Genomic DNA, 25792 nt, shown 5'->3' with positions numbered 1-25792 from the left:
TAATCTGGGATGTTTCCTCACTTTTCTTTGTCTTTCGTGCAATTGACGTTTTTGAAGAGCACAGGCCACTTGTTCTGTAGAAAGCTCCTTTGGGTTCATCTGGTATTTTCTCAAGACTAGACGCAGGGTATGCATTTCCTGCAGGAATACTGCATGCGGGCCGTCTTGAGAAGAAGTGACTGGGGTCTGTCACCAAAGCATGTTGAGGCCCGATCTGGTGGGCCAGAGGGAAATTCTCCCTGAGAGGCTGGTTTGCCATGTCTTGGATTCTATGATTCTCCCCCAAATAATTTCAGCTGGGTTTCAGAACTTGCCGTGAGCTCTTTCTTCTTCATCAGCTAACCTGCTTTCCTACCTCTGCTTTGCTCAGGTTACCAAGGGCAGGGCAGTGGCCCAGCGGCCACTGGGAGGTCGTAGGTTGTTGATCATGGACCACAGCTTGACTGTCCGCTGTGCCCGGCAGTTGCAGAGCGGGTGGACATGTGGTAGAAAGACCGTGCCCAAAGGCCGTACTTGGGTTCAGGCTTCTTTTCTTGCTTCCGATCCAGACCAGGGCTGGGTTCTGTTCATGCAGGGAGCCAAGGACCTATGCAAGAATGAGAGGCCAATTTTTAAACTTTTCAGCCCCAGCATCTCTGCAGTGGATAGCCTCCCTCTGTCTCCTGAAGTAAATGCAGAGAGGTCAGCAGGAGGCTGTTCTGAGTGGAGGGTGCCTTGGGTACAGAAAATTCTGAAGGGCTTTCTGGTAAACAAACAAATGGAAGTCTTGTGGAAAAGGATCCAAGGAAGGTTTTGAATCTGAAGTCTTTCACGGTCATGCCAAGCCTTGTCTCGACTCTTACCTAAGTCTGGTGCATAGAGCCCCATGACACGGGCACACCACACAAACCAAGGCTCAGGCAAAAATCTCTGTTTGGGCTTTTTCTCAAATCCTTCTAGTCTCACCTCCCACAAAAGTCCTCCCTAACCCCGTCCTCCTCCCAGACCGTATTGACCTCTACTTTCTCAGAACTTCTGTAGCACAGGTCTGCATTACTCAGTGACACTGAGCACAGACAGCCTGCTTTCGGCTTTAGATTCTTAAACTTATGATCAGATATTACAGCAATGTGGGAGGAAACCTGAGTAACTTCCAGATCTTATTTCCCCACCCCTAGAGGTAACCATCATCTTGAATTTGGTGTAGAGTGTTCCCATTCATTCTGTAAAAATAAACTTTATTTTTTAAGAATGGTTTTGGTTTACAAAAAAAATTGCAAAGATAGTACAGAGTTCTCCAGTACCCCATATCCAGCTACCCTTGCTAATAACATTAATAACATCTCATGTTAGTATGGTATATGTGTTGTAATTAATGCACAATATTGCTACATTGTTAACTAATATTTATACTTTACTAGATTTCCTTTGTTTTTATCTAACATCCTTTTTTGGTTCCAGGATCTCATCCAAGATGCCTCTTCACAGGTAGTTGTCAGGTCTCCTTAGGTGCCCCTTGGCTGTGTCACTGTCTCAGGCTCTCCTTGTCTTTGATGACCTTGACAGTTTTGAGGAGTACCAGTCAGGTATTTTGTAGACTGTCCCTCAATTGGGATTCGTCTGATGTTTTTCTCATGATTAGACCGGCGTTATGAGGTTTTGGGCGGAGGACCTCAGAGGTAAAGTGCCCTTTTTGCCCCATCATATTAAGGGTACACGTTATCAACAGGACTTATCACTGCTGATGTTGACCTTGATTACCTGGCTGAGGTGATGTGTGCCAGGCTTCTCCACTGCAAAGTTGCTATTTTTTTTTCCTTTTCCATATGGTACTATACTCTTGGAAGCATTGGATTCTAGTTGATTAAGTTGTTTCTCACAGGGCTATGGGTTGACAATTCTGATACTGCTATACATGTACACAGTTAAGTAAACACATGGTAGATGGTGAGAGCCAGGCTTCTCAGTTTTAGAATTGGAGCTTACAAATAAGCAAGGGGAGGAGGCTAGAATTGTGATAATTATGGTAATGGATTCAAGTTGGAGAGTCAGTATGAACTCACTGTTAGCTTAAAATAGATATGGACGGTTACATATAGAAATATTTATAGATATGTGTTTATGCACTAGTTAATATGCATACATATATTTCCTTGCTTTGTCAGCTGAGAGGGCCTAGAAGCAACAACATCCTAATAACAAAGAATTTACCTAGTGCCCAGATCTTAGTTCTAATACGATTCTCCAATATAAGGAGATTCAAGTACTTGGAGAAATGAAATCTTACTACAAATATAGTCATTATTAAATAAAATATATTATTATATATTGCAAGCACATGAATTTGTGTATTGTATATTTTGCAAGTTTGCAAACTTTATATAAATGGTATCAAAGTGTGTGTATTTTTCTGCAGCTTTTTCCCCTCCTCTCAATTTATCATATGAGCTATACACATAGTTTGATATGTGGACTTAGTTGATTCAGTTTTACTGTTGAATAGTAATATGCCAAACTCATATTATACAATTTGTTCATCCATTTTCCTATTCATGTATGTTTAAGATATTATAAACAGAGCCACTATAAATATTCCTGTAGAGGGGCCACAAAAATATTTTTTGCATGAGATTCCATCCTCTGTGGATTGTTTCCTTGTGTTTTCCTAGATTGAACTTCAGTGTTGACACCAGTATGAGAGAAGAGAGGCTAGCAGGGGCAGGGAGGAAATTCGCAGGAGAGTGGAAGACAGCCTGCAAAATTAGTGGCCACTCTGTATCTGACTGCTTGAACAGGCAGGCTTTCTCCAGGGCATATATATAATTAAGAAGGATAATTGCTGCCTATGTTAGTAAGAATCTTTAACTTGACCAGATAATGCCAAATTGCTTTAAAAATTAGTTATACAATTTATATTCCCACCAGGGGTGCTTAAGAGCTGCAGTGCTCCATACATATGCCAAGACTTGCAATTTTTAGACTTTTAAATAATGTCTATTTGAAGAATGAGAAATGGCTGTTATTGTGATTGTGGTTGTAATTCATATTTTCCTGATACTCAGAGATTGAGCATATTTTTGTGTGTATTTGGATCATCTGTCAATTGCCTTTTGCTGGCTCCTCTAATTAATTGTTTGTCCTTCTGTTATTAATGTATTGAGAATTCTTTATAAATTCTGCATACTAATTCTTTACAGTTAAATGGGTCACATCTGTGCCAGTATGTTGCTTCTCTTACAAATTATGTCTTCTGTAATTTCAGTGTACTAGAATTTATCAAGATTTTGCTTTAGGACTTTTTAAAGAAAATTGCTTTAAGAAATTATTCCCTATCATAAGATCATAAATACATATCTCTGTATGTACTTTGTACTGTTAACATGGTATTCCTTTTTCACCCTGCTACTTTTAGCTTATTTGTGTGTTTATATTTAAAATAAACTTGTCATAGGAAGCATATCATTGGATCTTCTTTTTATATTCAGTCTGACAATCTTTGTTTTTTAATTGAAATATTTACTCCATTTATATTTAATGTAATTGTTGATATGGTTGTGTTTAAGTCTATTGGCTTGCTATTAATATTTGTCTTCTATTTATTCCTTTTGTGTTTTATTCTTCTGTCCCTCCTTGCCTACCTTTTTTTTTTTTTTTTTTTGGTTAATCTACTATTTAGTGTTTCATTTTATTTCCTTGACTGACTTCTTAGCTTTAACCCTTTTTAAAAAGTATTTTTTCTAGGGCTAACACAATGTTATAATTTATACTTTATTTGTTATTTTTATATCATCCCATACTTAATTTCAAAATAATTTATATTTTACTGTGTGTTATTGTGTGCTTATTTTTCACTTTCTGGGGAAAGGATTTGCATCTTAGTTGTTTCTCATACTTACTATTATTCATTCATTCAACAAATACGTATTAAACATTTCCGATGTACCAGGGACTATGCTAGGTATTGGAAATATAGCTGCAAACAAGACAAACAAGAAGCCCACAGTTTGTTTGGGGAAATAAAAAAGTATGTAGGAAAGTTTTCTTAGAAAAGGAAATGTTTGAACTGAGCCTTGAAGGCTGAGCAGAAATTGGTCAAGTGAAGAAAGGGATACTAGATGGTTCCAGGTTGTGCCAGTAGTAAATACAAAAACTAAAAAGCAGGAGGAATAAACAGTTTGTCCAGGGAGTAGTAAGATATTCCACATGGCTGGAGTGCAGTATTCAATGGTACAAATAGAAGGTGGAGAGTAGAGTATGCAGTTTGGCCAGAGGTTTAGGGAGTCTCTGGTAGCTGCTAATACTCTCATTGAATTAGGAATCTACAGCTGGGTCTATGATATTTATGTCATTAATATTCATTAACTGCACTGGGCACAGTAGCTCATGCCTGTAATCCCAGCACTTTTGGGAGGCTGAAGCAGGCAGATTGCTTGAGCCCAGGAGTTTGAGACCAGCCTGGGCAACATGGCAAGACCTCGTCTCTACTAGAAATACAAAAATTAGCTGGACATGGTGGTGCACGCCTGTAGTCCCTGCTACTTGGGAAGCTGAGGAGGGAGGATCACTTGAGCCCAGGAGGCAGAGGTTATGATGAGCTGAGATGGTGCCACTGCACTCCAGCCTGGCGACAGAGTGAGATCCTGTCTCAATTTTTTTTTTTTTTTTGGTGACTCACGCCTGTAATCCCAGCACTTTGGGAGGCTGAGACAGGTGGATTACCTGAGGTCAGGAGTTCGATATCAACCTGGCCAATATGGCAAAACCCTGTCTCTACTAAAAATACAAAAATTAGCCAGACGCAGTGGCGTGCACCTCTAGTCCCGGCTACTCAGTAGGCTGAGGCTGGATAATTGCTTGAACCCGGGAGGCAGAGGTTGCAGTTAGCCAAGATCGCACCACTGCATTCCCACCTGGGCGACAGAGTGAGACTCCGTCTCCACAACAACCACAATAACAACAAAAACTTTAAATTCATTAACAATGATTAAAGAGCTTTTCATCAACTACTAGCTCTAAAACATGTGGGCTTCTCCATCTGACTACGAGTCTTCAGTTTCCACGTTGGGGGATTTATCTTTTTGAGATGAAGACATTATGATTTTCAAATTCTGTTGTAAAAAGTACGTATATTATTCCAGAGGAGTGCCTCTTGTTATATAATATAAGCAAGGGTTATTGTAGGGTTATTGGAGGAGGGAGGGAACATCAGTTTCCTGTATCCAGAGTGCCCCAGATGAGATAGATGCTACTCATTCTCTATATACTCTTGAGTAAGTCCTTCCTCTCTCTGGGCCTTTGTTTCCTCTTCTGTATAATGAGAAATGTGTAAAAGATTGCATCTGAGGACACTTCCAGCTCTGCCATGCCATGGTTTTATCAGCCACTAACAACTTGATGGGAGTTGGTTTATCTACTGCTTCTAGCTATGAAAACTTCCAGAAAGAACTCATGGGAATGTGACCCCGTTTATATATAATAATAAGGCCTTTGTTTGCAAGTGGCAGAGACCAACTCAACATACCTTAGGTAAAAAAGGAGAATTTATCTATAGGGTATGGGGAAGTGGCTGTCATGGGACCCTAGGGCAGGAATAGAGGGAGGCCTCAGGAAAGGACTAAGACTAGGCATGGGAAACCTTCAGGGATCATGCTCTATGGATTGGATTTAGGTGGCTGGAGGATGGGGTGGCTGGCTTGGGGACTGAACAGACATTGCAAAAAGTGTCCTCTCCACCTGGGTTGTTGGTTTTCATTTGGGGCAGCAGTCACAGAAGTGTGGGGAATGTGGGCCTGTCCAGATGTGGCTGGTCCTGAGGGGTGGTGTTGTTGAAGTTCTCTGACCAGTGGGTATCAGGATGGAGGGGATGTGGATGCAAAAACTCCTGGGGATCTGAGAGAATCTGAAAGAAGAAGGGGTGTGTGCATGTGTGTGCGTGGGTGTGTGTGGGTGTATGCGCATGGCGGTGTGTGTGCATGTTTGTGGATGTGTGTGCATGTGTGCATCTGTGTGGATGTGTGTGTGCATGTGTGTGCATGTGTGCATGTGCATGTGTGTGTGTGTCAGCCAAACTTAACTCTGAGTAATACTAAGAAAACCCATTTTCTTGGGGCTCTTTCCCTGGGCTGGGACTCAGCCTTGGTCATTGGACCGGCTCCCAACCAAAACCACACCATAGGGTTTTCTGCTCTTGGCCAACCCAACATGAGAAAAGAGGAATTAAATGGTCCTACTAATAAGAAAGCCTCAGCGTAGCATTAAGGGACGTAGCAGGTCTTCTGGCCACACTCCCCTACAAATGTGGAAAGCTCATTGGTGAAAACAGTTCTCAGGGGTCAAAGCAAAGGAACTGATCTGGGTAAAGTAGAGGCTGCCTGATCCCAATCAGACATCCTCACCTCTCAATAACCTTTGCCATTTCTCTGCCATAGAGTGAAAGTGTCCCCAGGCCAAAAGCCCAGGGCTCCAGGCTGCCATCAGGATGGTGGGTGAAGGACCCTACCTTATCTCAGATCTGGACCAGCGAGGCCGGCGGAGATCCTTTGCAGAAAGATATGACCCCAGCCTGAAGACCATGATCCCAGTGCGACCCTGTGCAAGGTAAGTCAGAAGAAGGACAGAAGGGAGGGCCAGGGCAGGACCTCCAGGAATGTCCATCAGGAGAGTGGGCACTGCTCCTGCAACCCATCTGCTGCTCTATCTGCTCGTCCTTTTGTCCGTCCACCCATGCACACGTTCATTCATTTATCAGTCACTCACTTCCTTGCCTCCTCCTGTCCTTTGGTGAAAAGGAGGCAGTAGCTCAGGTTTAAGGAGAGCTTTCCATGATCCAGACCTGTCCAAGTGCTTTACAAATATCTTCTCATTCACTCCTCACAAACTCCCTGGAGGTACTGTTACTATCTTTATCTGATAGGTGAGGAAACAGGCACAGAGAGGTTAAGTGACTTGCCTAAGGTTTACCAGGTAGCTTTTGCTTTGTAACAGACTGTCTCAACACTTAGCAGCTTAAAACAATTGCCACTCATTTAGCTTACAGTTTGATGGGTGACCCATAAAATAAAGCAACTTGGGCTGAGCTCAGCTGGGTGGTTCATTTGGTCTTGACCAGGCTTACTCCTGTACAGCAAGGTGGCTGTGCTGCTGGAGGTGGGCCGGCTGTTGGCTGGGGCAATGGGGCAACTGGACCCCGCGTGTGCTCAACCTCCAGCAGGCTAGCCCAGGCTCGGTCACACAGTAATGTGGCAGGCTTCCAAGGGAATGAGTGACAGCATGCAGGGCTTCTTGAGATTCAGGTTTGCAACTGGCACACCACTTTTTTCACTGTATTCTATTGGCCAAAGCAGATCACAAGCCAGCTTATATTCAAAGTGTGAGGAAACAGACTCGACTTTTTGATGGAATGAGCTGCCAGGTCACATTCCAAGGAATTGGGAACAGATGGGGAGAGAAAACGGGGTCATTTTTGAAATCCAGGATAGAAACTCAGGTAGTCTGATTTCTGAGCTCACATGCTCAACCTTGCAGCATATTGTATTATTATATATATTATTAGCATTATGCTAACCATAACATTATGAAATGCTGCCTTTTCTACATGGAACGAGGCCCTGTGGTTTGTTCTCTGAGCAGCAGAAGGCCAAGTGGCAACTCTATAATAAGCGGACACTGCGTTATCTTCTCCCAGCATCTCTGTCTGGGCCAAGGACACACACATTTAAGCCCTCCAAGGTGAGAGGTGGAGGTTGGAAGGTGAGGACGTGGGCTATTATTCCTAGCCCCAGGAGATCTCTAACTGTCCACTTTTTCAACCAGTTTATAATCGCTTTGTGGAGAGGCAATGTGGGGAGGTGCTGAAGGGAATGACAGGACACTGGAGTCAACAAGCAGTGGGTTTGAATTCCCATCTCACCACTTTCCAGCAGTAAGACCTTGGGCAAATACTCTAAACTCTCTGTGCCTTGATGTTTTTGTCTATGAAATAGGCATATAATATGACCCTGCCACCCATCTTACTGAGTTGTTGTGAGGAATATATGAAGTAATGCATGACTGTATCATGAAAGTCACCTTTTAGGGAATTTTTACTATGTGCTGAGCTCGTAGTACCTTATTCACATGATTTTAGCTTGAATTCTCCCAAAAGCAGGGCCTCAGTCAAGAACCTGGAGGCAAATAGCTTATTTGAGAAGTGATTCCAAGCAGCAAGAAGAAAGATTTAGGGAGAGTGATGTAGGGAAGGAGGAAAAGGCAAAGTGAGGTGTGGCCTCAGCGTCACTGCTGTGAGCAGAGGGGCCTGGATCCTACTAGGTCCTTCTAGAAAGTGTCCAGTTTTCCACCCAGAGGATGTGAGGTGGACTTCTATACTACCTTAGTGAAGTTTTGCCCCTGGGGGTATTAATGCCCTGCAATTCTGGGCAGGAGGAGGAGGAAGAAGAGGAGAAGGAGGAAAAAAAGGAAGAGAAGGAGGAATGGGAGGGGAAAAAAGAAGGAAGAGGAGGGGAAGAAGAAATGAAGGAAGAAGAACAAAAAAAGGAAGTGATGGGTTTTGAGTATTATTACCTTTGTCTTTAAGACAATTTATTAAAACTTAGGTAATTTAATTTTGAATATTGACTGTGTTTAACAACTAACTTGCAAAATTCCTGAAAATTTAACAATTGGCTCTCACCAGCTGGCCCCAGCACATCACTGCTCAAAGGGCTAATAAACATAATGAATGCAAGTCACAGATTCTGAGTGCAGCTGTGGTTGTTGCTGTAGTTACAAGTTCAATCCAGAGAGAGAGTTGGGGCAATGACCCCAGTGCCTGGAACGCTGAGTGTCTTGTTTGTCTGCAGGTTAGCACCCAACCCGGTGGATGATGCCGGGCTACTCTCCTTCGCCACATTTTCCTGGCTCACGCCGGTGATGGTGAAAGGCTACCGGCAAAGGCTGACCGTAGACACCCTGCCCCCATTGTCGACATATGACTCATCTGACACCAATGCCAAAAGGTACCAGGATTTGCTTGGGTCACTGTATTAGTCCATTTTCATACTGCTATGAGGAAATACCTGAGAGTGGGTAATTTATAAAGAAAAAGAGGTTTAATGGACTCACAGTTCCATGTGACTGGGGAGGCCTCACAATCATGGTGGAAGGTGAAGGAGGAGTAAAGGCACGTCTTACATGGTGGCAGGCAAGACAGTGTGTGCAGAGGAATTGTCCTTTGTAAAACCATCAGATCTCATGAGACTTACTATCACAAGAACAGCACAGGAAAATCCACCCCCATGATTCAGTTACCTCCCACCAGGTCCCTCCCACGACAGGTGGAGATTATGGGAGCTAAAATTCAAGATGAGATTTGGGTGGGGACACAGCCAAACTGTATCAGTCACCTCAGGAGAGAAGCCCACTCTAAGGAAGGGGTCCCATAAACTCTTTTGTGTGCTCCCTAGTTGTGTGCTTCACAATTTCCCCAACATGGAAAATGACACCAATGGGTGTTGGTAACCATTCTCTGAGATTTGGGCTGGACTGCATGAACTTCTTGGCCCAAGCTGTGGGGAGGTGGGAATTAGGCAGCATTAGCGGGGAGAGAGGACTCATTGAAGAGCTATGGCCTGAGGCTCAGGACCCTTCTGGCTGAGCTCCAGCTGGTTTGCAGGGGCACCGCATCAGGACAGAGGTGGCTGGAATCTCACTTTGCCCTGTGCTGGTCAGACCCCACTTGACCAGCATGCAGCATCAGGTTTTGTTTTACTTTAAACATCATTATTGGACTTTTATATTACAAAATATATTTAGGTTGATCCTAATGAAACTGCCAATATTTGACAATTTTAACTTGTAAAAATGTAAATGTCATTTGTCCAACCTAATTCATATTCATTATAAAAATGTGAAAGCAGCAGAAGTTTAAGCCGTGGAAGGATCTCTCCCATGCTCCTGCTCTACTCCCTGGAGGCAAGCACTATGAAAATCTCACTGTGGCTCTGTCCAGAATTTTCCTACTCTGATTAAACACACCCTGGGCTACCGTCTTCTTCAGATCAGTACCTCTTCTTACCCCCCACTCACAGATCATGTTTTATTTTAATCTAAACAAAAAATGAAGCATACTACATAACTGTTGATCATGTTGCTCTTTTCAGTTAAGAGTTTATAAAGACTTTTCCATGTTAGGATGAAGACATCAACTTCATTTTTTCCAGCAGCTGCATTGAACTCTGTGGTTCTGATTAAATGTATAATATAAAGAATGGGGAAGGCCTGGGAGTGTTAGTCATGGCCTCCTAATTGCTTCTAGAATTGTGCTTCTCCTCATCTGTGCCCCGAAGAAATCTCAGCTAGTGGTACATTCCAAAATCTACCTCCTGGAGAAAGTTGCCAGGGAGCACTGAGGGCAAGGCACTGGACCACCTCTCTGCCGTTCTCTCTGGCCAGTACTTCTCCATCTGTTCTTAATGTTTCCTCCCATCTACCCAATGTCCACTTAGATCCTTGCCTTTGCCATTCTGTGTTATGCTCCTAAGTGAACCCCTCCAATCCAAAGGCTTAAACACCAAACACATGCTGACTCCCCCAATAACATGTCCGTGGCTATCTCCAGGCCACAGCCCACTTCCAGACTCTGAAACTGCATGGCCAGCATCCAATGGGATGGCTACACTTGGATGCCTCACGAGCATCTTCTATCTAAAGCTGGACCTATTCTTGACCCAGGGCCCCAGACTTAGCACTATTCCTCTCCTCTTCTGCTTTTTCCCATCTCCGTCTCTGTAAATATTCACACAGTTGGCCAAGCCCGAAAACTGGGGTCGGTCCTTGAACCTCTTTCTCCTTTCCTCCCACATCTTATTCATCAGTAAGCCCTGTTGTCGCTCTCTGTCCACTTTTCTTTAATTCCACTGCCACCTCTCACCTGGAGGCTGACAATCTCCTGCTGTGGTCTCACACCATCATCCATCACTTTCATAGCAGCCAATTGATCTTTTAGATGTGCAAAATGATCTTGTCACATCGGCTTAAAAAACTGTAATGGCTTCCTTTGCACTTGGAGTGAAACCTAAACTCCTGAAGGCCCTTGAGGTTTTCCCTAGGTCTTGTGAAGTCCCCCAAGGTCCCAAAAGTTCCTGCCTTGCTTCCCACTGTTCCATCAGCCCCTCCTCTTTGTGCACCACACTCCTGTCTCTCTGGTCTTCTTCCAGATCTTTGAAATGAACAATGTCTTCGCTGCACTGAGATTTTTCTCTTGGCCTCTTTGTTGCCTCTGCCTTCTTATAAGAGCTGACACTGTGGCAGAGATGGGTGGTAGGCAGAGGAAAAGAAGGCCTGGCAAGGACCCAGATGTCACAGGCATACCAGCTTGTATCTAGGCATTGCCCCCTGCCCTTCCCAAATCCCACCTGCTCAGGAAGAGCAGAAAGCTGAGCCAGTGCTGGAAGGCACCACTGCCAGGGAGGGGGGCTCTGCCGAGCACCCTTGCAAGAGCATGCCCAACAGCGTAGCTTCAAACAGCACATAGAAGTGCCAATCCATTTTATGCTTCTGTTTTTTCATCACAGATTTCGAGTCCTTTGGGATGAAGAGGTAGCAAGGGTGGGTCCTGAGAAGGCCTCTCTGAGCCACGTGGTGTGGAAATTCCAGAGGACACGCGTGTTGATGGACATCGTGGCCAACATCCTGTGCATCATCATGGCAGCCATAGGGCCGGTGAGTGCGGCAGCCCTTCCTCCTCATCTGCTAGGTCCCCAGCCTAGCAAAGAATGTCATTAGTTACTTTCTCTACGAGCTGGTGGGTTTAGTGCATTGTCATTATCTTTGCGCTCCTTGGGGGCGAATTTTCATAAAGTGAATCCTTGTCAAGCACAGCAGCAGCCACTAAAATTAATTAAAAAGTTTGCCTCTTAAAGTCAGCTTGCTGGCATGATCTGAGGCCTCCTATGCCAGCCTCAGCCCTCAGTGGCCCTCTCTTCTCCCCACCATGCTGTTTTACAGACAGTTCTCATTCACCAAATCCTCCAGCAGACTGAGAGGACCTCTGGGAAAGTCTGGGTTGGCATTGGACTGTGCATAGCCCTTTTTGCCACCGAGTTTACCAAAGTCTTCTTTTGGGCCCTTGCCTGGGCCATCAACTACCGCACGGCCATCCGGTTGAAGGTGGCGCTCTCCACCTTGGTTTTTGAAAACCTAGTGTCCTTCAAGACATTGACCCACATCTCTGTTGGCGAGGTAAGCTGGCTCAGAGGAGTTTAATGTTGGAAAATGGGCCCTGAGTGGTTTGAGTGCATGTGAGATGTGGATCCTGAGTGGAGCACCTGCCTTCCTTTTGCTTGTCTATGACCTGCCCATCATGTCCCATCTCCTGGCTAAGTGAGGTGGTGGAGACACAGAACACCAGAGGAGTTCAGAGAGGGAGGGCTCAGTTCAGGCTGGAGAATTTGGAGAGACTTCCTAGTTCCAGCGGGAACAGGGCTCAGGGAGACTTAATCCAATCGCTTTGATGGTCAGTGGGGACTGTGGAGGAGTACTGAGCACACTATAGGCATTTAATAAAATGGATGAACTGATGGCTCCAATAATCCCAATTGTGTAGCATAGGGGGTGCCAAAACCACAATGAAGACCATGCCTATTGGACTTCAGAGTTGACATTTTCTTAAGCTCTTAATCCTTAACACTTATCAAAAACAAAAAACAAACAAACAAAACACACACACACAACAACAACAACAAAAACTCTTGAATCAAGGGAACCCCAGGTGGTGTGGGGTAAGATAAAAGACTTGCTTCTTTCTTACTAGTTGCTCTTTTAGCAAGCTCAAAGCATTTAATTATGATTAGATTCAGTTGCATATAGCAAACCCAAAATAACAGTGAATTAAAAAAAAGTAATTAATTTCACTCTATGTAAAAGGAATCTAGAAGGGAATAATGCAGGGTTGGCACAGGAGCTTCCAGATCTTTCTGCTTTTCTTTATCACTGTCTTTGCACATGGCTGTCATCATGGTTCAAAAGTAGATGCTAGAGATCCAGCCATCCCAGCCACGCTTCAGACAGGTGGTAGGAGAAAGAGGAACAGAAGAAGGGGTGCCTTCCAGGTTGAGTTGGCTCCCTTTAAGAATTCATCACAAATGTCCCATTCTACACTTTGGCTTACATCACATTGCCCTCAACATGGACACATGGCCACACTCCTTCCACAAAGGAGGCTGGGAAATGTAGTCTTTTCTGGGCCCATCTCTTCCCGAAAGAAGCGGAGTTGTCTTCACAAGGAAGGCTGAGGGAGAAGGGGGTGGGGGAGACTGGGTAGGCAGCTAGCAGTCCCTCCAGCATGCTCCCAGATGGTAACATTACACTTTGTCTTTCTGCATTGAGATGATCAGCCCTAAAAGACCAGCCTCTCCAAAGTCGTACCAGAACCCATAAAACTCATCATATTGGTCCCCGGTGACCCCTTCCTGCTTTAGAGAAGTTTTTCTCCTTTCTCCCTAGATCCCCTCGGCCAATCTGAAAGCCTTCATTTAAAGACATGTTTGACTGACTCTTCCAAAGCCTGAACCTTTGCGCTTTTCTTTCCAGGTGCTCAATATACTGTCAAGTGATAGCTATTCTTTGTTTGAAGCTGCCTTGTTTTGTCCTTTGCCAGCCACCATCCCGATCCTAATGGTCTTTTGTGCGGCGTACGCCTTTTTCATTCTGGGGCCCACAGCTCTCATCGGGATATCAGTGTATGTCATATTCATACCCGTCCAGGTAACGGCAGGCTTTTGCGCTTCTAACTGCTTTGTATTTGCATTTCACACACTTTCACTGAATTGGGTGGAAGGCTGCATTTCTGGCGCATGAAGCCTGTGCCCCATTTTGTACTCACAGATTTACTTCCTTTGGCACAGAGTAGTGGTTTTTTGTTTGTTTGTTTGTTTTGTTTTTTGTTTTGTTTTTGTTTAGTGACAGGGTCTCGCTCTGTCACCCAGGCTGGAGTGCAGTGGTGCAATCGTAGCTCACTGCAGCCTCAACCTCCTGGGCTCAAGCAGTCTTCCTGTCTCAGTCCTGCCAACTAGCTGGGACTACAGGTGCATGCCACTGTACCTGGCTAGTTAAAAAAAAAAATTGTAGAGATAGGGTCTCGCTATGTTGTCCAGGCTGGTCTTGAACTCCTGGGCTCAACCCATCCTCCTGCCTCAGCCTCCTGAGCAGCTGGGATTACAGGTGCAAGCCACTGCACCTGGCCACAGTGAAGGTTTTTAAAAAAAGCTTGAATTTGAATGCTCTAGGAAGTGGAATGCCTCTTCAATTTGTCAAAGCCCCCAGCACTCTCTTTGAGTCCTGGCAATTCATGCCTTTACATGACCTGCCTGACCCCCCATGGTGTTCCTCAGACAGCATCAACAGCCACAACTCAAGGGAAGAACTTGGCTGAGAATCTGAAGCCAACTTCCTTTAGAACTTTTTCTGGCACTTACACTCCCATTTCTGGATTTTTAGGCCAGCTGCAACTCAGCACTTCTCTCTGAAAACAGTGTTTGTACCTTGATTTCAGATGTTTATGGCCAAGCTCAATTCAGCTTTCCGAAGGTCAGCAATTTTGGTGACAGACAAGCGAGTTCAGACAATGAATGAGTTTCTGACCTGCATCAGGCTGATCAAAATGTATGCCTGGGAGAAATCTTTTACCAACACTATCCAAGGTAGGACAAGAGTAGCTGCTTAAAGAACCACTTACCTTGTAGAATATGCTCTTCTAAGGGGTTCTTACGGTTCCCAGGGCCAGGCATTCCAGAAGGAGGCTGAGGGGACCCTCTGAGCTGCTCTGCAGGTCAAAGAATTTTTCAAAGGATTATGGAGATTTAATAATAGAGCCAGGCATCTGTTCTGGTGAACCCAGGGGTGAGTGACATATGGTTTCTCTTTCCTGGGGCATGTGGATCCTGGTCCTGGCGAGTTACTTTTTATAAAAATAATCCACTAAAAACATTGTGAGCAGGAAAAAAGCTGTCTCCAGCTATTTACTTAACTTAGAAGACATCTACACACACATACACTCACACATCCAGGGTTACACAGACCTCTTTGCCTGCAGCAGCGTCCTTGTGTTCGGATGGTCCACTGACTCAACACTCCTTGGGCAGACACGAGGAGATGCATATGTAGTTTTACTTTTTTTAAAGCTGATATAGAAACTATTTTGATCAAATATAAATGCAAATCTAATTGCAGGGACATTTACATAATTGCTGACATAGACTCAGGTGGTTCACCAGTTAATGATCTGAACCACTGTTACAATTGACTGTCTGGATGGACAATTACACTTTTGCACCAGCATGGAATTGGGCCAAAGCTGTGTATCTGCCCTCTAGGGAGTGGCTGTAGAGAACCTGCTTCTGAGCTGGCCAAAGGAAGTGCCCCAGGTTGGGACCCCAGCAGCACTAGGGGACCCTCTTTGAAAACCCAGAAACACATCCTCACACTCTGAGTTCACTTCAGTGCAATTTAATTTGATTTGATTAAATTTGATTCCATGTGATTTCAACTTAATTTAACTTGTCGATTTAGTTCAATAAATATATATCAAGTTCCTACTTTGTGCAAGGCCATGGGAGCTACACAAATGAAATGGAAAAGTTTCCTGCTTTTATGAGTAAGGGAGGATAAGATAACTTAGCTCAAAAATAGCCACGAGTTTGTTGGCTCTACCTTCAGAGTATATCCGGAAGCCATCTGCTCGTCTCCATTCCACTCCCACCCAGTCCAAGCCAATATCCTCTCTCTCCTGGACTATGCAAGACATCTAGGCACTGCTCCTGCCTTCCCCCTCCCTCCTGCAATCCATTGTGCACTCAGCAGTCAAAGTGACCTTTAAAAGATGTCAGTCAGATCCTGTTCCTCCCCTGTTGGAAAATAGTGGCTTCTTATCACACTTAAGATTATTCAAAGTTAGGTCTTTGGAAGGAAATCCAAATTCTTTCATATGGCCTGTTAGGTCAGACATGATCTGGCCCTTGGTGACCTCTCTGACATCATCATCACACTTTACTGTAACCTTAGGAAACTCAGCTCTAGCGGTGTCTGCCTTAGTTTGTTTCTAGAACCACACGCCACACTCGTTCATGCCTCGGGATCCTTGCAATTGCTGTTTCCTTTGCCTGGAGTGCGCTCCTGCTGGATGTTTACAGTAACTTTGTCTTGACTTTAGGTCTCTTCTCAATGTCCAGAGAGGACTTCTGGGCTGCAGTTCCAAGCATGTCCATGCCCTACCTCTCAATCACTTCATCCTGCTCATTTCTTTCAGATCACTCAACACAATTTGTAATTATTTAATTGTTTATTTCTTTCTTGTCTATCTATCCCACTGGAAGAGGGCCGAGACCCTGTTCACTCCTCTATTCTCCAAACACAGGTGCAGCACCTGGCATGTAGTAGACATCAGGTTCAAATATCTTAAGTGAGTGAACACATGAATTCACGTTATTCTATGGGGGAAGATGGAGGAAGTGCCACAAGAGAAACAGAGATGCTCCATGGGGGAGCACACTGGGTTGGGGAGACTGGGAATGGCTTCCCTGCAGAAGTGGCTTTCAGGTAGGCCAAAGGGATAGGAAGGATTGGGACGCACAGAGAACTGGGGAAGCCCACTTAGGGAGGAGCAGAGGCCTGGAGGTGGAGATAAGAGGGTGCTCTTGGGGACTAGGGGGTGCTGGATGTTCTTTAGGGGAAGGGCACCTGGATAGCAGAGCTTGGATCCCAGGAGAAGTGGGCTTCGATTCTGCCCTGATCACTGAAAAGGCAAGTTTTCAGTGAAGCAAACCTGCGCAAGCAAACCTTCGAAGACAGTTTGCTCTCCTGTCAAAAAGGCATAAAATAACAGACTCTCTCTCATCATGCAGTGGTGAGGACGATCTTATGAGAAAGCACCTGTGAAGTGTTGAGCAGAGCACCTGGCATGTAGTGATCACGCCATTAGAACATCTGGAGCTGTCCTGTGTGGATATGAAAGGGCTTTTGCAGAGGAGGCTGGAATTGGGGTTGAGGACAAAAAACAGGAGGTGAAGGAGGCTTGAATGTAATTTGTGAGCTTTGCAGAGCCGTGGGCATGTTCTGGACTTAGGAAGGGGAGAATACTCTTGAGTTTTTGTGTCTATTCTTGGGACACCAGGCAGGTGCCTTCAGGCCAGCACATGTGTTTTATTTCTCCCCATACAGTATAGTATTTAAAAATGTTTTTTCATTTAGTTCCCAACATTTAAAAATAGGGAGATGTCTCAGAAAAATCTGGACCTCATGGGAGGATTGCTTGAGCCTAAATATTCGAGACTAGCCTGGGCAACATAGGGAGATCCCAACTCTGCAAAAAATTAAAAAAAAAAATTATCTGGGTGTGGTGGTATGTGCCTGTGGTCTCAGGTACTCAGGAGGCTGAGGTGGAAGGATCGCTTGAGCCTGAGAGGTCAAGGCTGCAGTGAGCTCTATCATGTCATTGCACTCCAGCCTGGGTGACGAAGCAATACTCTGTCTCAAATATAAATAAATAAATAAAAATCTGGACCTCAGACTTTGAAATGGTTGACGATCTGGTTGTTACTGGACCGAACTGTGGCCTGCTTATCTGGCACAGTAAGGCCAAATATCCACGCTGAGGTTTTGCCGCAGGAGAAAGGAGGGCCTTTATTTGCTGCGTGCCAAGCAAGGAGAATCAGGCGGCTCATGCTTAAGACCTGGCCTCCCCAGTGGCTTGCAAGCAAGGGTTTTTAAAGGCAGGGCTAAATTTCAGGAAAGCGAAGTTACAGGCAAAATCGTAACTCATACATGGAGATTATGTATTGGTTTGGCCTGAAAGGGTGGGGTATCTTTTTTTTTTTTTTTTTTGAGACAGAGTCTCGCTCTCGCCCAGGCTGGAGTGCAGTGGTGCAATCTCGACTCACTGCAAGCTCCGCCTCCTGGGTTCATGCCATTCTCCTGCCTCAGCCTCCCGAGTAGCTGGGATTACAGGCTCCCGTCACCACCCCTGGCTAATTTTTTGTATATTTAGTAGAGACGGGGTTTCACCATGTTAGCCAGGATGGTCTTGATCTCCTGACCTCGTGATCCACCTGCCTCGGCCTCCCAAAGTGCTGGGATTACAGGCGTGAGCCACCACTCCTGGCTGAGGGTGGGATATCTTAAAGTAGGCAGCTTATAAATCATGGGTAGATTGAAAGATTTTCTGATTTGCACCTGGTTAAGGAAAGGAAGCTTTGTCTAAAGATTTGGAGTTAGCAGAAAAGAGTGTTGGATCCGGCCTTTGGGCGTGACCTCCTCCAGGCCCCTCAGGAAGAAATTTAGAACAAAAACTGCAGTCAGAGCTCTGTCCTCGGCTCCCCCTTCTCTGAGGTCTGTGTGCCAATGGATCAATTGGATGGGGGTCCAGGTTTTCTGAAATACAACTCAAGGACATATGTTAAGATATAACCTTTAGTTTCTATAGGGAACCAAACATTCTTGTGACTCTAACTTCCTTGGCTGTTGTTTCAGGCTATTGTTACCTTCTTGCTTATCAAGTTACTCATTTACTTCTAGGGGTTAGCTGGGTGCCTAGAATTTCCCTTGAAGGAACTCAAGATTTTCCTTTGTTTCCATACTTGCAGTTGGTGGGGAGCAGGCTCCTAGGAGAGGTCCCTGCTGCATTTCATGGTAGCACCAGCCTCCCCTGCACTGAGAAGAGGCTGCCCCTTTGATTCTCCTCTCCATTCTGCTGCGCTGCAGAGCCCCGCTCTGGTCTTCCCTCCTCTCTGGCCCCACTTCCTTCATTAATGGTACTTGCCTGGCCCTTCTAAGCATCTGAGTTTATGGCTTCTGACACACAGAGTGTCAGGGCTGGAAGGGAAGTTGGACACCATCCACTTACGGCAGCTGACAGGTACCGAGCTGTGAGTACCTGCTGGGTTTGTGCCCGGGGCTTTCTGTGGTTCCTCTCATTTAAACTTCACAACAGGACTCATGAGCGCCCATCTGGAAGAGGACCAAGTAGGGCTAATACATTTCATAATGCTAGTGTTCGACATGCAAAATGAGACCACCTTGGACTGTGTTCTATTTTGCAGATATAAGAAGGAGGGAAAGAAAATTACTGGAAAAAGCTGGATTTGTCCAAAGTGGAAACTCTGCCCTGGCCCCCATCGTGTCCACCATAGCCATCGTGCTGACATTATCCTGCCACATCCTCCTGAGACGCAAACTCACCGCACCCGTGGTAAGAGCTGGCTCCAGATCGAGGCTCTTTCACAACCTGACCCCGGCAAGTCCCAGGTGGGAAGCCCTTCCTACCGTCGCTCAATACTGGCATTAGGAACATCCAATCATGGCAGGCCACAGGATGTGACTTCAACTCCAACTTTTTTTTTTTTTTTTTCTGAGACAGGGTCTCACTCAGTCACCCAGGCTGGAGTGCAGTGGCGTGATGGCGGCTGACTGCAACCTCTGCCTCCTGGGTTCAAGCAATTCTTCTGCCACAGCCTCCTGAGTAGCTGGGATTACAGGTGCCTGCTACCACCACACCTGGCTAATTTTTGTATTTTTAGTAGAGACCGGGGTTTCACCATGTTGGCCAGGCTGGTCTTGAACTCCCGACCTCAGGTAGTCCACCTATCTTGGCCTTCTAAAGTGCTGGAATTACAGGCGTGAGCCACAGTGCCGGGCCAACTCCAACTTTTAAAAACAAATGCTTGGGCTGACAAGGGGCCCGGGAGAGCCTGGCAGCGGTTCTTAATCACGTCCATGGCTGGGCAGGGGTCATAGTTAATGTTGGAATGCAATTTTAAGTGTGGAAAAAAAAATGGAAACCAAACAAGCAGTTGGCTGTTTTATCTACTTACACTACAAGAAGGAGAGTTTGAGAAAATTTTCTCGGAGGGAGGAGGTATAGGTATTAAGAGAAGTAGTGGTGTTGGGGTCAAAGTCTGGGCTTAGGAGCCCAGTCTGCCTTGTTTAAATCCAGACTCTGCTACTTAGTAGCTATGACTTATAGCAAATCATTGAGCCTCTCTGGCCTCGGTTTTGTAATCTGCAAATGGGACGATAATAGCCACAATCAGCACTGTTGTGAGGACTGAATCAGTTATTTTGTGTAAAGCATGTAGAACCATCTCAGGCTCTTAGGTCCTATACAAGTGTCAGCTATTCTTCTTAGCCTGATTCTCATCTGGGCTAGGCAAATGAGGATTGAAAGCCTTAGAGGGAGAACTGGGATGAATGTGAGATGTTCAAGTTCTTTACAAGGGGCCTGGACATCCAAAGATAACGAAATGCTAAGCTAGAGGGAAAATGATTCCTGGCTTAAATAAAGAAAAAACCAACTAAATATTAAACCAAGTAATTGGAGGAAAGCCAACAAAGGCAACAAAAAAATGAGAGAGAGAGAGAGAAGGAAATAAGCAAGTTCATAGAGGAAGAATTGCACCTAAAATCAGGGACCTCACGGGGGAGGAAAGAGGTGACGTTTGCAAAGCCAGAATGGTCTTGCTGAGCCATCCTTTGTGGGGCCCATGACTGCCCTGTGTTTAATCCCATTACTGCCCTGTGTTTCTTGGTGAGTTGCTTTTATTTTCTCTGGTTCTTCAGCAGGCAATCACTCATGCACAGTTTATTCTGACACACTTTAGGGCCTTCAGCCCAGCTGTGAGCCCAAAGCCAGATTGAATGGCAAGGATACACCAAGGCTGGATGTAACGCTGCCCAATTATTGTGGCTCTCTGTGATCCCAGACCAAAAAGAAAACTATTTTTTTCCTCCAGCAACATATCAAGCAAATCAACTTGAAATCAAATTGAGAGCATGTAGTTCATATTTTCCAACATGATAGTTTAGAGGGAATCTAGACCAAAACCAAATTTGCAAAGCTCTGGGTCCTTTGGATTCAGAACTGATTGCAGTCGCTTCTCTGCTAGGGTCATGTCAGGAGTTGGTCAGCCCCAGGGTATTCAGTCACATCAGGCTGCCCATGCGCTCTGTCAGCCAGGCCTGGGCTTCCTGAGCCAAGGTGGTGCTTTGGGACCTGGAAGAACTGAGTTCCCTTTGAGGATGTATTTAGGACCAGATGTGATAGAAGCATCTTTCATTATCCTTTTAATGAAGGGACTAGGATTAGTTGAAGCCTGGGGCCGTGTCCATGGGGCCCATTTAACAGCAGGCAGGATCACTCAGGATTTGATGAAGAAAGTTGTATTATTAATTTCTTAAATGGGTAGCTAGGGAGCGGCTGCTAATTACAATTTGGACAGATGAGAAGATGAAATTGGAGAGATGAAATCATGTACCCCCGGGGCACCAACCGAAGGGAGAAGGCTTGTTTTCATTGAGGCTGTAGAATATTAACCACCCACTATGCAGGGCACAGCAAGGAAGGCCCCATGAACAGAGGTGATTTTTTGGAGGGAAGGGTGAGGGGGAACCACAGTTGACCAAAGGCTCTCAAATCTGGCCTTGTGTGGTGAATGGGGAGGCAGGGCATGGAGGCCAGGTCCTGGGAGCAGGAGAGTGAGGTCACCCTCCAGCTTCCCCCAGGGGCAAGCAGGTCCCTCCAGGGAGCCTCCGGCTGCATGCCTGAGGCTGTGGTGTGGTGTAGTCTAACTCTAAAGGGTCAGATGCCTCTGAAGAACTGAGAGCAGGGGGTGCTTTAGGACAGTCTGCATGGGCTTCGAGTGAATAGTCTAGATTCAAATGAGGATGCAGTGTGGATGGAGATTGCCAAATGTATTCTGTTAGTGGCCTGCCTCAGACCTTTTCCCTTCTGTATCAACAGAGACAAGGGGATATACTTGCCACCATTTTGGTGAAAATCCCAAAGCAAAATAGATTTAAGATGCTGCTGTCCCCAGCTGGCCAACCGATGGTTTCTGAGCCATGAAATGAAAAGATTGTTCCTCTGCACATTCCAACGATGCCACCATTTCTCATCTCAGCAAGTTTAAACCCCATGTGTATAACGGTTTAGAGCCAACGTGACTTCTCCTTCTAAACCCTCATACTTCTCTTTTGTTCTTCAGGCATTTAGTGTGATTGCCATGTTTAATGTAATGAAGTTTTCCATTGCAATCTTGCCCTTCTCCATCAAAGCAATGGCTGAAGCGAATGTCTCTCTAAGGAGAATGAAGGTATAACTAACCCTGGGTGAGTAGGGAAGAGAGATCTCATTTTGGGGTGGGAAAATGCTCAGATATGTGGAGGCTGTACCAAGCTGCTGGAGAGCTGGGTCGCTTGTTGAGTTGACATTGGGAGGAGGGCATCCATTCAGAGTTAGATGAATAAATGTGTATGAAGGACAGAGCAGGCAGAGTTTTATAGGTTGTCTGTAGGAATGACGAGATAATCTCTGTACATGAAGAAGATGTTCCTGATCCTCTTTTTCCTAAACAATCTATACATCCTAAGTGTTCCACAAGTGAGGTTGGTTTTGTTCTGAGTCATCCCCACTTTACCTAGTTTGTTCTTTAATGGGCATGGTGATGGAAGTGATGAAGAGGATGTTGGGGTCCCTACATTTATGCACTCATTTAGTCCCTTTATTCATTCATTTATTCACTCATCAAAGATTTACTTTGTGCCTCCTATATATAAGACATGGGAAATGCAAATATAAGGAAGAGAGAGGCTTTATCCTCAAGAGCCTCTGTTCCAGTGTGGGACCCAGGCACTCTAAGAATTTCTATACATGATAAGGATATAATTGACATTTGAGAAGGGCAAATAAAGTGGTTTGAAAGTTCAACTGAGGAGAGGAAAGGGAAGAAGGGCATTTGTGTCAACACGAAAGCTTGTTCAAACATCTATGAATTGATTGAATGATCTTACTCACCCGAGTCAGAAATCCAGAAGTCATCGTAAGCATCCTGATTCATGCACTCCTCTTTTCCCTTACCATACACATCCAACCAGTCAAGAACCCTGTTAAGTCAACTCCTGATTATGGTATTCTCTCCATTTTAAGGGGTGCCATTGTAAGATTGGATTGGAAGGTACACTGTTGAGTTATCAGTCTTTGAACAAACATAAGGACACCATCACATTAATTGCATGTATTATGATATCAGATAAAAAAGTAAAGGTGCTCCTTAGACTAGATAAAGGATGGCATTTCTTGACTCCTCAACCTTCGCTCTGTCCCTACTGCCATTGCCTTCAGTTGAGGCTTCCATTATCTCTCATCTGATTAGCGCAGTGATTTATGAACTAACCTTTCTTTTTCTAACATTCTTCTCAAGTCCGTATAGCACTCAACCCCAAGAGAGCTGTCAAAATATTGGTATGATTACCAATACTTATTCTCAGCTGCTCAAAATCCTTGAACCCTTGTCCCCTCCAGGCTCTCCAGCTGTGGGTTCTCAGTTTTGTGTCCCCTTCCCTTCCCAACTTGAGCTCTGTGCCTCAGTAATCCTGAATTGCTTGTTTCATGCTACCACCCCAACAAACCATGGCTTTGCATGCTCCTTGCCTTTGTCCATGCTGGGCCTTCAGGTAGAATGCTGTCATTCTCTTTCCCTTTTCTCATCTCTGCCTGTACAACACCTGTACAGACCCAGCTCTAGCACCAAGTGCATGGACCTCGAGAATGAGAGCCAAGTGTCCCTTCTCTGGCAGTCACAGTGCTTTGTCCTCATCACATTTTGCAGAAACGATCCGTGCATGTTCTCATCTCCCTCCAGACTGTAATCTCTTCAAGGACAGGAACTGTGTCTTATTTATATTTGCATTTCTGCTGTTTACCCCAAAGTCTGGCACATGGTTAGGGCTTAGCAAATGCTTTGTTGAACTGGGCTGAGTGGCCTCGGAAGAGGACACAGCAGAGACTGAGCATATGACCTTGATTTCATAAGCATTTAGTGCCAAGCAGTGAAGTCCACTGCCCAAAGACTGGTAAGACCGACTGTCTTGGGCACAAGGGTGAAATGTGGCTGGGATCAGCATTCTCCAGTGTGGGTGACCCACATAGGCCTTGTGGTTAAAGAGGCAACTGTCCCAGATAGCATGAGCTAGTGGACTATTTCTGCTGCAGCTTCTCCTGGGGGAATAATTTCAGAACCTCTTTCCTGGATGTGGTGGGTTAGAATAGCCAAAATTGTGATTTGGGGTCATTAGAAGATACATTGGGATGATTCTTGCAAATGGATGACATCTGCTCAGTTAATTTTGTCTCTTTAATCTTAGAAAATTCTCATAGATAAAAGCCCCCCATCTTACATCACCCAACCAGAAGACCCAGATACTGTCTTGCTTTTAGCAAATGCCACCTTGACATGGGAGCATGAAGCCAGCAGGAAAAGTACCCCAAAGAAATTGCAGAACCAGAAAAGGCATTTATGCAAGAAACAGAGGTCAGAGGCATACAGTGAGAGGAGTCCACCAGCCAAGGGAGCCACTGGCCCAGAGGAGCAAAGTGACAGCCTCAAATCGGTTCTGCACAGCATAAGCTTTGTGGTGAGAAAGGTGGGTGTGTGTTGCACAGGTGTGGCCTCCAGCCCTCCTCCTTGCATTACATAGCTACAGCCTTCTCCAGGTCTGATACAGTTCAGTTAGAGCTGAAGGTGGTGATGGGATGTCTCTAACCAGAGTCCCTGTATTTTTCCCCCAGTTTTAAAACTATGTACATGAACATTGGAGGCCCCCTCTCCAAGTGTGGAGAAGACGGTGGTTATATTCATTCTGATTTGCAGTACTTCTCTTAGAGTCAGTTGCAGTTTTGAATGAACAGTCCACTCCAGGTGGCTAGGCTTGAACTGACTAGGTTTCATAAATCTTTTTTGATTTGTTCTCTTTTTGTGTGTGTGAGACAGGGTCTTACTCTTTTGCCCAGGCTGGAGTGCAGTGGTGCAATCAGAACTCACTGCGGCCTCAAACTCCTGGGCTCAAGTGATCCTCCTGCCTCAGCCTCCCAAGTAGCTGGTACTACAAGCATATATCACCATGCCCGGATAATTTTTTAAAATTTTTTATTTACCAGGGGAAAGCGGGATAATTTTTAAATTAAATTTTATTTTATTTTTTGTAGAGATGGGGTCTTGCTATGTTTCCTAGGCCAGGCTCGAACTCCTGGCCTCAAGTGATTCTCCTGTCTTGGCCTCCTGGGTCAAGTGCTGAGATTACAGGCATGAACCACTGCTCCTGTCCTAGATATGTTCTTAATTTCACATTGGAATATTATGATAGATGATAATGACTGATAATTTTGAACACTACTATTTACCAGGTACATAATAAACTCACTTAACCACTTCAATAACCAGGCATCATAACTGCCCCTACTTGATGGTTGAGGAGCCTAAGGCACAAGAGGGTTAAATAGCTTGCCCAAGGTCACATAGCTAGCAAGTGGCAGAGGAGGGTTTCATACCCAGGGCACCTGGCTGCAGAGTCTGGGCTCTTAACCACCGGCAAAAACTCCTCTTGTAAAAAGCAAACTGAGATAACAAGCAACCCAGCCAAGGGCTAAGCCAGCCAAGCCAGCCAGAGTCTGTTTGTTGTTCTCTCCCCTCAAGATTGGGGGATGGAGATTTCAGGCAACGCTGTGGGTTTAGGGAATGTTTGGCCTCTTCCTGCATCTCCTGCATGCATCTCCTTCTTGCTCTGGGAACTCAGCAGCAGACTCCCAGGGTGGCAGTGTTGATTTTGCTGCAGAGGGCTCAACATTAATCTTGTGCCTGGTATTTTAATCTCTCATCCTGTTGACTCACTCTTTCCCTGTGCAAGCGCTATAGAAGGAGAGGTTCTTATTTATTATGCAATGTCAAGCTCAATAGCTGGTGTGAGAGTGGTACCTCTCATAGCTAACAAAGCTGTCTGCCACGTATTCATTGGA

At 45.1% G+C, this 25792-nt stretch overlaps 1 protein-coding gene across 9 annotated transcripts in view; it reads left to right on the top strand.

Moving 5' to 3' along the window:
* The window catches only part of ABCC12 (ATP binding cassette subfamily C member 12), a 75112-nt gene that overhangs the window by 3112 nt on the left and 46208 nt on the right, over positions 1-25792 (top strand). For 7 of the 9 annotated variants that reach the window (NR_171628.1, NM_001393797.1, NM_001392028.1 and 4 more), the window contains 9 exons: positions 6408-6576; positions 8817-8972; positions 11529-11676; positions 11962-12195; positions 13546-13719; positions 14507-14654; positions 19047-19195; positions 21987-22094; positions 24145-24423. Coding sequence is in view for 3 of the 9 variants with exons in the window: in NM_001393797.1 (NP_001380726.1) it covers positions 6458-6576; positions 8817-8972; positions 11529-11676; positions 11962-12195; positions 13546-13719; positions 14507-14654; positions 19047-19195; positions 21987-22094; positions 24145-24423 (1515 nt within the window). In the remaining 6 variants the exon portion in view is untranslated. Of the gene's footprint in view, positions 1-6407; positions 6577-8816; positions 8973-11528; positions 11681-11961; positions 12196-13545; positions 13720-14506; positions 14655-19046; positions 19196-21986; positions 22095-24144; positions 24424-25792 lie in introns of those variants that run through there. The other 2 variants (NM_033226.3, NR_171629.1) reach the window with 2 other exon arrangements.

This window comes from Homo sapiens, chromosome 16, assembly GCF_000001405.40.
Source record: "Homo sapiens chromosome 16, GRCh38.p14 Primary Assembly".
Lineage (NCBI taxonomy): Eukaryota > Metazoa > Chordata > Mammalia > Primates > Hominidae > Homo > Homo sapiens.
The sequence above is the reverse complement of the archived record's forward strand: the minus strand, read 5'-3'. Positions and strand labels throughout refer to the sequence as shown.